Genomic DNA, 13,600 nt, shown 5'->3' with positions numbered 1-13,600 from the left:
CCCTGATATCTGTCATCCACCTACCTATTTATCTATTGAGCATGCATGGACACATGCCCCACCTCTTAATGATTTTATATGTAAAAGTCCACCCGCTCTTCAGATAGGTACTGGGTGTTTCTCACATGCCAGGCATTAAACTATATGCTGGCTGATACAAAGGTGAGCAACACGCCTCGTCCTTACCACCCCTCCCTACAGCTTACAGTCCCCTCAGTCTCCCTACTGTCAGCAGTCTGCTAAGTATCCCTCCTGCCTGTTATCTCTGTACATACAAAACATACATGTATATTTGCATATCATTTTGCAAAGAAAGCAAACAACAACAAAACATGCTTTCTTTGCAAAATGGTATGTTTTCCTATTTAAACTATTACAGTGTGGCAATGTAAAGTCAAAATTTAATTCAACAATTATTTATTGAGTGCCTTGTTATATGTTAGGCATTGGGAATACCATCAAGATATGACAAACATTTATGATGTTACTATAACAGTGTTGGAACTGCCCACCATTGAGACTGAGCAGATCAGGAAAATCTTGTAAAGGATGAGAACTGTGAGCAAGCGTTAGCTGGGTATGTATACCTATGTGTGTATGTGCGTGTGTGTCGAGAGGCAGGGGTTCCTCCTAATGAAATGCCTTTGTCTGTTCGTTGGCGGAGAGGCAAGCAGTGTGTCCTGAGATTCTTGGGTTCTGTATTTTCTGCCAGGGGAGGGAGATCATGCAGCCTTCAAAGGGCTAGGAGACACCCAAATGGAGATGTCTATTACATGTTGGATAAATGAATCTTCAATTCTGAAGATCTGAAAGTTGCAAGCACACAGAGGAAACCGGAAGCCATGTCTGTGAGTGACACTGCTCCACAGGAGTGAGAAGAGAGCCTTGGATAGAACCCACAAACACCAAAACTTGAGTGAGAGTCACAGAAAGCAAGAGCAACCTACAACAGACTGAGAAAAAGTAGCTTGAGAAACAGAAGGAAAATCAGTGAAGAATGTCTCTGCTAGCAGGGGTTGATAGTATGTCAAGAAACCTATCACTCCTTTTGTTTTAAATATATTGAACCATGTGCTGTCCACAACTCATTAGCGGATCAAAGCAAATGCATTAAGACCACTTACCTGAGGATCATCATCTTCCATATCATTGAAGTCTGTCTGGGTCTTTAACAAAAGCTGCATCACATCTGATGCATCCTGCATGAACTAGAGGAAAATATGTAGAGACACACTTGTTGATACCGAATTTTGTTTCTTGTGTAATTAGCAAAGCTTTGCCAAAAAATCGACTACATTGCCCACATAGGTCATAACTTTCATAGATAAACTATCATATTGAAAAATTCTCATCTATATTGTGACAGATTTAGTTCACTTTCTAGAAAAATATATTTTCCACTGAAGGGCAGGGAACTACAGTATAAAGGTACTTCTAATGGCATCAGGTGTTAGTCTATGGCTTACGCATTTCAAGCAGTAAAACTGAATTCAAATTCAGAAAGAAAATTTTAGATTGTTTATAGAATTCACTGCATAAAATTTTGTCTATGATTTTCACTTAACTCTTTGCAGTTCTGGTAATCTCCATTGTATAAACAGGCAGCGTTTTAAAGAGACATTGAAAGCCAGATATATAGAGTATGGGACATACAAATATTTTATTGGTAAAAAACATACCAATGTTTTAGTGGTCAGCGTCTCACAGAAACCAGTTCCAAATATAAATTAATACTGATGCTGGTTTTGAAGAAGGCAAGACAGAGCTTCTCTGTTGATAATTCTCAGGGTCAGAACATGAGGATTCAATGACAGAGAAACTTCTTTTGCATTAGCTTGAACAATTCTGAGATGTTGGCTGAGAAACACACTGGCCAATGGTCCTTGGTAATTATTTTCTGAAGATCTATATGCATAGATTTCTCTCTTAGAACACTTGATGCATTTTAGATTAATAGGAAAGCAAGTGACATGTTTCCAAGCACATATTTAAAGGGAACGAACATGGATACTGACTTCCACACACCTCCCACGAGATGCACTGTGTGTGGTGGGGAAAGGAGGAGGCATCAGGAGCACAGCTGAGCTAAAAAGAAACCTTAATATTAACAATGAAAAGACGGGCTGGGCGCGGTGGCTCACACCTGTGAGCAGACTGCTTGAGGTCAGGAGATCAGGGCTAGCCTGGCCAACACAGTGAAACCCCATCTCTACTAAAAAAAAAAAATACAAAAATCAGCTGGGAGTGGTGGCAGGTGCCTGTAATCTCAGCTACCTGGGAGGCTGACGCAGGAGAATCGCTTGAACCCAGGAGGCAGAGGTTGCAGTGAGCCAGGATCATGCCACTGCACTCCAGCCTGGGTGATAGAGTGAGACTTGGTCTCAAAAAAAAAAAAAAAAACACCAAACCAAACAAACAAACAATGAAAAGATGAAGGCAAGAATTTGTATATAAAACAGGAGCAATGTGAAAGGAGTAAGGAAAAAAACAAGCATCCAGAAAACCATTTTTCAGAAGGAAAAAATCCCTCTAGTACTCTCAATGCCTCCACAGCCAAGTTAGGTACAGTAAATTTAACATAATAGAAATTACAGGCCGGGCACAGTGGCTCACGCCTGTAATCCCAGCACTCTGGGAGGCCGAGGCGGGCGGATCACGAGGTCAGGAGATTGAGACCATCCTGGCTAACACAGTGAAACCTTGTCTCTACTAAAAATACAAAAAATTAGCCGGGCGTGGTGGCGGGCGTCTGTAGTCCCAGCTACTCGGGAGGCTGAGGCAGGAGAATGGCATGAACCTGGGAGGCAGAGTTTGCAGTGAGCCGAGATCGTGCCACTGCACTCCAGCCTGGGTGACAGAGCGAGACTCTGTCTCAAAAAAAAAAAAAAAAAAAAAAAAAAAAAAAAAAAATTACTTACTTTTTCCTTCCCAACAGCCAGACCAATGAGGCTAATGCATTCAATAGTTTTTCCTCTCAGAAGTCTCAGTTCTTTTTGAACCGCATTCTCAACGATGTGCTTCAGTGATGGCATAAATAAATCATAGTAGGGGACAAATTTTTCTTCTGCAGTATCGGCAACTGATGCAATGGATGTCACAACTTGTTCCAAAACTAACTTGGTGCCTTTCTGAATCAGCTAGAAGGAAGACACAAATTATTACCTCAAAGGAAAACTGGAAGAAGTATTTAAATTTACAATTACTACTCCCTTCAAGTTCTTGAATGCTTTTCTGAAACAGCAGAATGAGACCACCTCTCCAGAAGCAGAGACTGTAGGTTTTGGAGGAAATTTCTATAAAAAGAATCTATGTTGAACTATTTATGTGAGATTTTTTTTTTCTCTCTTCTATTAACACAACACCTCTAACTCATGTTAGTCTCATCTCAAAGCACAGCTAATTCTTGAGTACAGATACGGAATCAAAATTTTTGTGTTCATCAACTTTAATGCCTACACTTCATCCTCATTTTTTTCTTCACTGATTTCCTCTACTTATGATTATATTTTGTGCTGTCTTACTACGTCATAAAGAAAATTCCCTCTTTGGCCCCTTCCTTTATCTTCTAACCCCCTCTCCCCAGAAGATCGCACGAAGGAACCCTGCTGCCTTCTCTTGCATCTGTCTTGCTGAAACAGATGAGATGACCTTTTTCTCTGCACCAAAGATCTGGTGTTCTCTGACCCAGCTAGTAACAAATGCTTACTAACTATTTGCTGCTGGGCCCGTCCTGTCACCAGCAATATTTTAAAATAATTCTTCTGTAATCCCAGGACTCTGGGAGGCTGAGGCAGGCGGATCACCTGAGTCAGGAGTTCAAAACCAGCCTGGCCAACATGGTGAAACCCTGTCTCTACTAAATAAATAAATAAATAAATAAATAAATAAATAAATAAATAAAAATTAGCCAGGTGTGGTGGCACACCCCTGTAATCCCATTACTCCGGAAGCAGAGGAAGGAGAATTGCTTGAACTGGGGAGGCAGAGGTTGCAGTGAGCCGAGATTGCGCCACTACATCCCAGCTGGGTTGACAAGAGCAAGACTCTGTCTGGGGAAAAAAAAAAAAAGAAGCCAGGCACGGTGACTCACACCTGTAATCCCAGCACTTTGGGAGGCCCAGGTGGGCGGATGACTTGAGGTCAGGTGTTCAAGAACAGACTGGCCAACATGGTGAAACCCTGTCTCCACTCAAAATACAAAAATTAGCCGGGTGTGGTGGGTGCACGTCTGTAATCCCAGCTACTCGGCAGGCTGAGGCAGGAGAATGGCTTGAACCCGGGAGACGGCGGTTGCGGTGAGCAGAGAGTGCGTTATCGCACTCCAGCCTGGGCGAGACTCCATCTCAAAATAAAAATAAATAAATAAATAAATAAAATAAAATAAAATAAAATATTAACTCATATGAACCTGAGCCAGTTACTACTCCAGATTTTCATAATTCCCCACGTCAATTACACCCACACTCTCAGCAGAGTTCTTTAACTTGTGTTACACATTCAACTATGTCTTGAGAAAGCCATCTTACTTTCTGCTTCTGTACCTCAACCTCTGCTCCATGTTTAGTGTGGACTGTGCTGCTGGCCCCAGAGGAAATGTCTTTCCTCCTCTGCTAGGCTACCTTCTCTTCGTACAACTCTTCCTCGTGAACACTGTCCTCCTACCATCCCATCCCAACAACTCCTTCCACTTATCTTTAAAAACCCATATAGTGCCTCACTGCAGGAAGGAAGGGCAGGGGTACACACAGACTATCATACCACAGCCATCCACCCAAACCTGTAAAGTCATGTTGGATCCATCCATTACTGATTTAACCAACCAACCAATCTGCCTTCAACTTGGGTCCACCTCGGTCTGCCTTCGGGCACACGAATGTTTCCTTTATCATATTCTTAGTCTGCTGTCATCTGATACTGAGCACTTGGGCCTTTGTTTATAAGTCCTCTGTCTTTGGCTTCTGAGACATTGCATTTCTTGTTTATCTTGCTCTCTGACCAATTGCCAGTGCTATGCAAACTGTGGTTTGTTAACTATTTGCTACCAGTTCATATTAAGTATAGGAATTGAGGGCATTAGAAACTTTTATAGCAATTTGAGAGCAGGTTTATCTTTTATTTTCTATGCCTTCTATTCATTTCATTTTTATAGTAGTAATCCATTTTCATTGCATTTGACAATAAACATTTGACAATAAACTGGGCTAAAATCCTTGCTTTTCGCATCTACATCTCTCACACACTGTGCTGGACTAACATCATTCAATTGTTTTCAGGTTGCATCCCTTATTTCAGCTGTAACTATAATCATTTTTACTTGGATACTCAAAAATGATGTTGCTTCTACAACTTCTGTATTTCTGCCACTCTGGTTAGAATACTCAATGTTTTTTAATTTCTTCTCTTTCATCTTTTTTTTTTTGAAACAGAATTTTGCTCTTGTTGCCCAGGTTGAAGGGCAGTGGCACCACCTCAGCTCACTGCAACCTCTGCCTCCCGGGTTCAAGTGATTCTCCTCTTAGCCTCCCGAGTAGCTGGAATTACAGGCGTGCACCACCACACCCGGCTAATTTTGTATTTTTAGGAGAGATGGGATTTCACCATGTTGGCCAGGCTGGTCTCGAACTCCTGACCTCAGGTGATCCACCTGCCTCAGCCTCCCAAAGTGCTGGGATTACGGGGATGAGCCACCGTGCCGGGCCCTTTCATCTTTTAAAATTCAAACTGCCAGAAACAAACTGTTAATGCTTCCCATGAAATGTCTTTTAGAATCACCTCTTCCACTATTACTATCTAAGCTCCCTGGACGATGACAGTATGATGGTCTTGCCTTAAATCTTCTCCCTTTTTTGTGTATGCCTCACCCAATGCTACCACACTAATTTTTTACCATATGATAATTTCCTGCAGCATTTAAGAACACAGAATGGTTTTTCACACTTTACATAAATCAGAGTTCAAAAACTTCTCTGCCTTATTTTCAGGGTGATCCATATACACTGATTTTACCTGACCTTTAGCTGTATCTTTCCCAATTCCAATTATCAGCCCACATTTTGGTCAATCTGAATTTCTCTACTCATCATTCCACAACTCCGAATAGCCTCCTCAGTTTTTGTACTTTATATTCTTTATGGTCATGCTGCAAGTCCCTCTTTCTCCAGTTCTTACCCATCAAATCAACCCAAATTAATCTACAAACAGAAAGCAGCCTACAGATCTTAAAACTTACCTCTTGAAGCTTCAGTACCATAATGGAATGCAGATGTTTCACCAAATTATCCAAGTATGGAATAAGTAGTGACTTGGGACAGTCTTCAGTAAAGTTAATGAGGGCAGCAGCTGCATGGGCCTGCACACGTTGATTGCCTTGGTCTTCCATGGTCTGCAGCAGAGCTGCAATCACCTGTGAAATGAAACCAAATGGGCACACATGTTGAAATGTCCACCCTTCTTCCTAAAGTCTGATTTAAGTGTTTGAGGACTTGTTACTTACCTTCTCATGAAATTTCTTTTGGAAACCAGGTGCAAAATCTGTAGCCATCTGTCCCACGGCATTACAGGCTGCATACCTTACTCTTGGATGCTGGAAAATGTTCCCTTTCATTAGTAAAAGCAAGAAGGTTTCCACATGAAGCTACACTAATCATTTTGAATCAAATATTTACTGGTACTTACAGGATCCTGGAGAAAAAGTAAAACAAAATTTACGATCTCATTTAGAATTCCTTCCATTTGCTGGTGGCACCCTTCACCAATGGCAGATAAGGCCATCAATCCTGCATGCCGGTATTTCCAGTCAGCTACCGAAAAAAATTACAGATGGAATAGCAATTACACACTATAAACATGTCATTCTGGTAGAGGGAGATGTATAAAAGTTCTTATTTGGAAAAGAGTAACAAAACTTTTTTGAAAAGGGTATATGTATATATAATATAAAAACATTTGTATAGGCCGGGCGCGGTGGCTCGCGCCTGTAATCCCAGCACTTTGGGAGTCTGAGGCGGGCGGATCACAAGGTCAGGAGATCGAGACCATCCTGGTTAACGTGGTGAAACCCCGTCTCTACTTAAAAATACAAAAAATTAGCCGGGCACGGTGGCAGGCGCCTGTATTCCCAGCTACTCGGGAGGCTGAGGCAGGAGAATGGTGTGAACCCGGGGGGGCGGAGCTTGCAGTGAGCCGAGATCGCGCCACTGCACTCTGGTCTGGGCGAAAGAGCGAGACTCTGTCTCAAAAAAAAAACAGAAACAAACAAACAAAAAAAACAAAAAACAAAACATTTGTATATTTACTTTTTAGAAAAATGAACAGAAAAAGTGCGTGACTACTTGATTCTAAAAGTATGTATCAGGCCAGGCGCGGTGGCTCACACCTGTAATCCCAGCACTTTGGGAGGTTGAGGCGGGTGGATCACTTAAAGTCAGGAGTTCAAGACCAGCCTGGCCAACATGGCGAAACCCCGTCTCTACTAAAAATACAAAAATTAGGCCGGGTGCAGTGGCTCATGCCTGTAATCCCAGCATTTTGGGAGGCCAGGGTGGGCGGATCACTTGAGGTTAGGAGTTTGAGACCAGCCTGGCCAACATGGAGAAACTCCATCTCCACTAAAAGTACAAAAATTAGCTGGGTGTGGTGGTGTATGCCTGTAATCCCAGCTACTTGGGAGGCAGAGACAGGAGAATTGCTTGAAACTGGGAGGTGAACATTGTAGTGAGCCAAGATTGCACCACTGCACTCCAGCCTGTTTGACAGAGTGGGATTCTGTCTCGAAATAGCTGGGCGTGGTGGCATGTGCCTGTAGTCCCAGCTACTCAGGAGGCTAGGGCAGGAGAATCGCTTGAATCCAGTGGGTGGAGGCTGCGGTGAGCTGAGATCACATTACCCTGGGCAACAGAGCGAGATTCCACCAAAAAACAAACAAATTTCTAACTTAATACTTCTGAATTTTAATTTAACAAAAGAACACATTAACTTTATAATTAAAAAACACAAATGAAAATAAAACACATACAACAATAAACTTTGGGATTGATATATATATTACAGGTACAAAGGTAACTGAAATATTCATAGAAATAAAAAGGAAGGATGGCCAGGTGTGGTAGCTCATGCCTATAATCTAAGCACTCTGGGAGGCTGAAGCAGGAGGACTGCTTGAGGCCAGGAGTTTGAGACCAGCCTGGGCAACATGGCGAAATCCTGTGTCAACAACAACAGCTGCCCTCCAGGGCAGGTGGGCTTCCACCATCACCTCCGTCAGGGGCAAAAACAGAAAGAAAGAAGTGGTTTCTCTTTTGATAACATTAGATAGAGTTTCTTCTTTTAAAAATAAAAGATATTGGGTGAAAGAAGAGTATATGATTCAAACATTCTAATATTCCATAAAAATTCAAATAATAACATCATTTTCAAATTCAAATCTAAATACTTTTGGCTAGGAAGTAAATCTGTACATTTTCTTTGGGATTGACAATTTTATCGGTAAAATAAATGAATTGGGTTAAATATGGATGATAAAAAGACAAAGATTAATTTTTAACAGTCTAAACATATCTTAGAATTTAAGCTTTAGAAAGGGCACAACTTCACTCTTCTAGCATTTGAAGGACACAGCTTACGATTTTGAAGCATTTGCATAATGTGTTCCTTGATCATCGGCAGAACGAGCTTTCCACCAAGTCCGCAAGCCATTCGATCTAGAGCACTCTCGCCTGCAACTGCATTGCTAAACACATAAACAGAATTATGTACTCAATATATCTGAAACACAAAAGAAATAGTATACTCTACAGACATACTTCTAACCATATTATTATTAAACTAAGACTGAGAAAGAATTCAAGCTGTCTTTAAATGTGGAATTGAAATTAGGGGTTAAAAACTCTGCAGCTTAGAAAAGAAAAAAGAGTAAATGTTTTTATCATGATCCACCATAGTTTAGAAAGTCATGCCTGATTCTTATTTTTCTTTTTTTTTTTTGAGACAGAGTCTCGCTCTGTCACCCAGGCTGGAGCGCAGTGGCACGATCTCGGCTCACTGCAAGCTCCGCCTCCCAGCTTCATGCTATTCTCCTACCTCAGCCTCCCGAGTAGCTGGGACTACAGGTGCCCGCCACCACGCCTGGCTAATTTTTTTGTAGTTTTAGTAGAGACGGGGTTTCACCATGTTAGCCAGGATTGTCTTGATCTCCTGACTTTGTGATGCGCCCGCCTGGGCCTCCCAAAATGCTAAGATTACAGGCGTGAGCCACTGTGCCCAGCCTGAATCTTATTTTTCAAGACCACCCCCACCCGCTACTGGCTAAAAACTGTTCTCAGAAATAGCTTCTGACACTTTCAACACTCCAGTAAAAGCAGTATTGAAAGAGCCTCATGTATTTCATTTCCTAGAAATACAGTCTTCAAACCTATCAATGAACAGAACATAGAAAACTGAAAAGGGTGCAGAGAATGTATAATCTTCCCCACTGTGAGTTTATTCACCCTTAAAGGGGTGCAAACTGCACTGCCAAAAACTATGCATAGCTATGTGAAACTCAATTCTATTGTCTTCTCTGAAAGCCAAAGGAATGTGGGCATAAAAGCATTTGGACTTATCCTGGCTTAGAACTGGAGGATCAGTAGTGTATTTCATGTGCATTATCTTTACTATGTAAAGACAATACTATAAAAATGAAACTATAAATTATCTTCAGAACAGGTTTTTAGACTTAAAAAAATCTCACCCTGAAAATATATTTATGCTGTTTCACAAATGAGAAAATCTTATTCATCTAGTTTAGAAAACAAAGTTTCTTAAACTGTATAAATTTAAGTGCCATTTGCAGGGCAAATGAAAGGACAGGTAGCAGCACATTACAGTAACTGAACCAAAAAGGAAATTCGACCTAGCCCTGGTCTTCTCTTCAGCCGTTATCAGGTGATTTCCAGTGAAAGATTACTTTCATATACTTCAAGACAGTATTAAAGCCAGAAATCAGTCATTTTTAACAATGGGATTAAGTCTCAAAAATGCATATATATTCTAAAGCCAAAAATCTTTAATTTTTACTTTTATTAACCTAGTAGTTTATACTGACTCCAAGTCTTTCAGGAGAATAATTTCAGCTTTTTATTTTTTTTGAGATGGAGTCTTGCTCTGTTGCCCAGGCTGTAGCGCAATGACGTGATCTCAGCTCACTGCAACCTCCACCTCCCAGGTTCAAGAGATTCTCCTCGCTTAGCTTCCCGAGTAGCTGGCATTATAGGTGTCTGCCACCAGGCCCGGCTAATTTTTGTATTTTTAATAGAGACGGGGTTTCAACATGTTGGTCAGGCTGGTCTCGAACTCCTGACCTCAGGTGATCTGCCTGCCTCTGCCCACCAAAGTGCTGGGATTACAGGTGTGAGCCACTGCACCCAGCCAATTTCAGCTTTTTTAAAGAAAAGGTGGTAGTATAATGCACTGGGAAGAATGAAAACAATGGTAATTAACCCCAGTCCATTAACTGGCTACATAACCTCAGACAAATCACTCAATCTTCAATCTCCCTTTCTGCAACTGTAATATAATACACCTCTGGGACTGCTAATAAAGTTGATTAAAGTAACAGAGCTCAGAGGTGCTATGTTTCACATACATGTAAGGGGCCATCATTACTACTGCACAGTGAATACAGATTTTGGTTGACTTTTCCTGTATTCATGGGACTTCCTAAGCTGAAATAAATAAGTACAATAGTAATACTCTACCCAGTTGACTCTCATCTTTTCACCACTGGATGCTGCCTATCCTAAAGTTAAACTGCTTTTTACTAGGAAAATATGATGTGTATTGCAGGGAATTTTGTTGAAACAATTATTCTAAGGGAAGTCTCTGCCTGTAAAAGCATTTATCACAAAAAAGCTGCTTTATACACGTTTTAAAAGATATTCAAACTAAAAACAAAAACAAAAACAACAAAAAACTTGGAAATAATTTAGAGTACGACAGTTAAAAACATAGATACTTGGCCAGGTGCGGTGGCTCACGCCTGTAATCCCAGCACTTTGGGAGGCCGAGGCGGGCGGATCATGATGTCAGGAGATCGAGACTATCCTGGCTAACATGGTGAAATCCCGTCTCTACTAAAAATACAAAAAATTAGCTGGACGTGGTGGCAGGTGCCTGTAGTCCCAGCTACTCGGGAGGCTGAGGCAGGAGAATGGCGTGAACCCCGGAGGCGGAGCTTGCGGTGAGCCGAGATCGCGCCACTGCACTCCAGCCTGGGCGACACAGCGAGACTCCGTCTCAAAACCAAACAAAAAACATAGCTACTTTATTTGCTGTTTTCATGTCATACTTTTTTTTAAAAAAGAAAAACTTCCTTGTTTGTTGTTGTAGGTATCTTTCAGTTCCTGATTATAAAATACAACTTTATGTATTAACTATTAAAATATTTTTATGAACTTCCAAGAAACATAAATTTTATTAATATAAATTATACATGAAAACTAAAGAAAATACTACTTATAACATGTGACACAGCAATAAATACAACAGCAAGGCAAAGTGCCCCATATTCCAGGCTTAAAAGTTTACCTTCAGGTTACAGGGTGCAATAGTGAAGAGATGGACCGTGGAGCCCTAGGGCTTTCACTGCCACCCTGGACACAATGTTTGATTACCTGTCAAAATCATCATCTTCTAGTTCATCTGCATTTGCCCAGTCCTCATCTTCTTCCAAATCAACCATCATTGCTAACATCTGAGGAACTAAAGTAAACAATTATTTCATACCCGAAGACTGTGACTTTATCTTATCCATATCACTATTTATAAACAAGAATTTTAAGATTTTACTTTGCCTGTAAGAGAACAAGACAAAACAATTATTTGTCTGTGCCCCCAAAACCTGGTTTGTTAAATTTTAACCTTGTTATATTTGCTTTTATCGTTTCTTTAAAAAGCAACATTCATTAAGTCAAACCCTCCTATGAAATTCCCAAATCCGATTACATTCTCCCCATCACCAGAGGTAAGAAGCAACATCACAAATGTTTCTCATTCCGCAATTGTTTTTTCACACTTGAACTACAGATTTCCATATCTCTATACAAAATTATAGTACTATTTCAAGATTTGATTTTTTATATAATAAATGGTTTCATAATATATGTACCTCGGCAATTTGCTTTTTTCTCAACACATAAGGATTTCAGTTTATTTAATAGCATTCCATTATATAAACATACTACCCACTGTCTAGCTGATAAACATTTTGGTTGTTTCCAATTTTTTCCTCCTATAAAATTTGCTTTGATGAGATTATTACATCTTTTCTTTGACAAGCATGAGTCTAGGCATGAAATTGTTATTACTATCTTCAAATAGTACTAAAAAATTATCAAACAAGTCTAGGCGCGGTGGCTTATGCCTGTAATCCCAGCACTTTGGGAGGCTGAGGCAGGCGGATCACGAGGTCAGAAGATCGAGACCATCCTGGCTAACATGGTGAAACCCCAAAAACAAAAAAATTAGCCGGGTGTGGTGGCGAGCACCTGTAGTCCTAGCTACTCAGGAGGCTTAGGCAGGAGAATGGCGTGAACCTGGGAGGTGGAGCTCGCTGTGAGCCAAGATCACACCACTGCACTCCAGCCTGGACGACAGAGCGAGACTCTGTCTAAAAAAAGAAAAAAAGAAAATTACCAAACAAGCTGCGCTCTGCACAGCTGTTGCATAAACTATGTGAAGTTTAAGTGGAGGTCTCCGTTATTTCACAAAAATGTGTGAAGTGCCCTGGGGGTGGAATAAGCGTCCTCTCAGTTCCACATCTTTTATTAACAATTGATACTGTCAAACTTCTGGACAACTTGTATTCCACAATTACACTTGTTTTTATTGAGACTTAGCAGGGTTCATTAGCTATTTCAGATCCCTCTTTTACGAATTTCCTGACTGGGCCTGCTGGTGCACACCTGTTATCCCAGCACTTCGGGAGGCTTAGGTGGGAGGATCCCTTGAGCCCAGGAGTTCAAGACCAGCCTGGGCAACATGGTAAAACCCTATCTCTACCAAAAAACACAAAAATTAGCCAGGTGTGGTAGTGCGTGCCTGTAGTCCCAGCTACTTGGGAGGCTGCAGTGAGCTGAGATCATGTCACTGCACTCTAGCCTGGATGACAGAGCAAGACCCCATCTTAAAGAAGAAAAAAGCAATGAATTTCCTCTTCTCAGCCTTTGTGTATTCTCTAGATAACAAAACTGTTGATTGTGTGCACTGTAATTATTTTCTTCCAGTTTGTGGCTTATTTTTTCAGTTCATTTATGGTGTATCTGATTGGTCAAAAAATTGTTTTCGCATTTGCCAATTTGGCAATGTTTACATCAATGGTTTGTGATTCAGTCTTAGAAAATTATCTACTATTAAGCATTACTTGTAAAATATATCTGTAATATTTAGCCCTTAACTTTTTTAACTAGTTCCAGCGTGCAAGGTAATATTCAGGTCTTGAGTAGACCCCAAATTATTATTATTATTATTATTATTTTTGAGACAGAGTCTTGCTCTGTTGCCCAGGCTGCAGTGCAGTGGCGGTATCTCGGCTCACTGCAAGCTCTGCCTCCCGGGTCACGCCATT

General features: G+C 40.9%; 1 protein-coding gene across 12 annotated transcripts in view; it reads right to left on the bottom strand.

Moving 5' to 3' along the window:
* The window catches only part of IPO5 (importin 5), a 70,622-nt gene that overhangs the window by 15,030 nt on the left and 41,992 nt on the right, over positions 1–13,600 (bottom strand). For all 12 annotated transcript variants that reach the window (XM_024449346.2, XM_011521089.3, XM_047430298.1 and 9 more), the window contains 7 exons: positions 11,649–11,736; positions 8,622–8,728; positions 6,676–6,800; positions 6,494–6,583; positions 6,230–6,403; positions 2,919–3,137; positions 1,125–1,208 (listed from right to left, as the gene is read on the bottom strand). In XM_024449346.2, coding sequence (XP_024305114.1) covers positions 1,125–1,208; positions 2,919–3,137; positions 6,230–6,403; positions 6,494–6,583; positions 6,676–6,800; positions 8,622–8,728; positions 11,649–11,736 — 887 coding nt within the window. The remainder of the gene's footprint in view (positions 1–1,124; positions 1,209–2,918; positions 3,138–6,229; positions 6,404–6,493; positions 6,584–6,675; positions 6,801–8,621; positions 8,729–11,648; positions 11,737–13,600) is intronic.

Source organism: Homo sapiens, chromosome 13 (genome assembly GCF_000001405.40).
Source record: "Homo sapiens chromosome 13, GRCh38.p14 Primary Assembly".
In the NCBI taxonomy this organism is placed as follows: domain Eukaryota; kingdom Metazoa; phylum Chordata; class Mammalia; order Primates; family Hominidae; genus Homo; species Homo sapiens.
The sequence above is the reverse complement of the archived record's forward strand: the minus strand, read 5'-3'. Positions and strand labels throughout refer to the sequence as shown.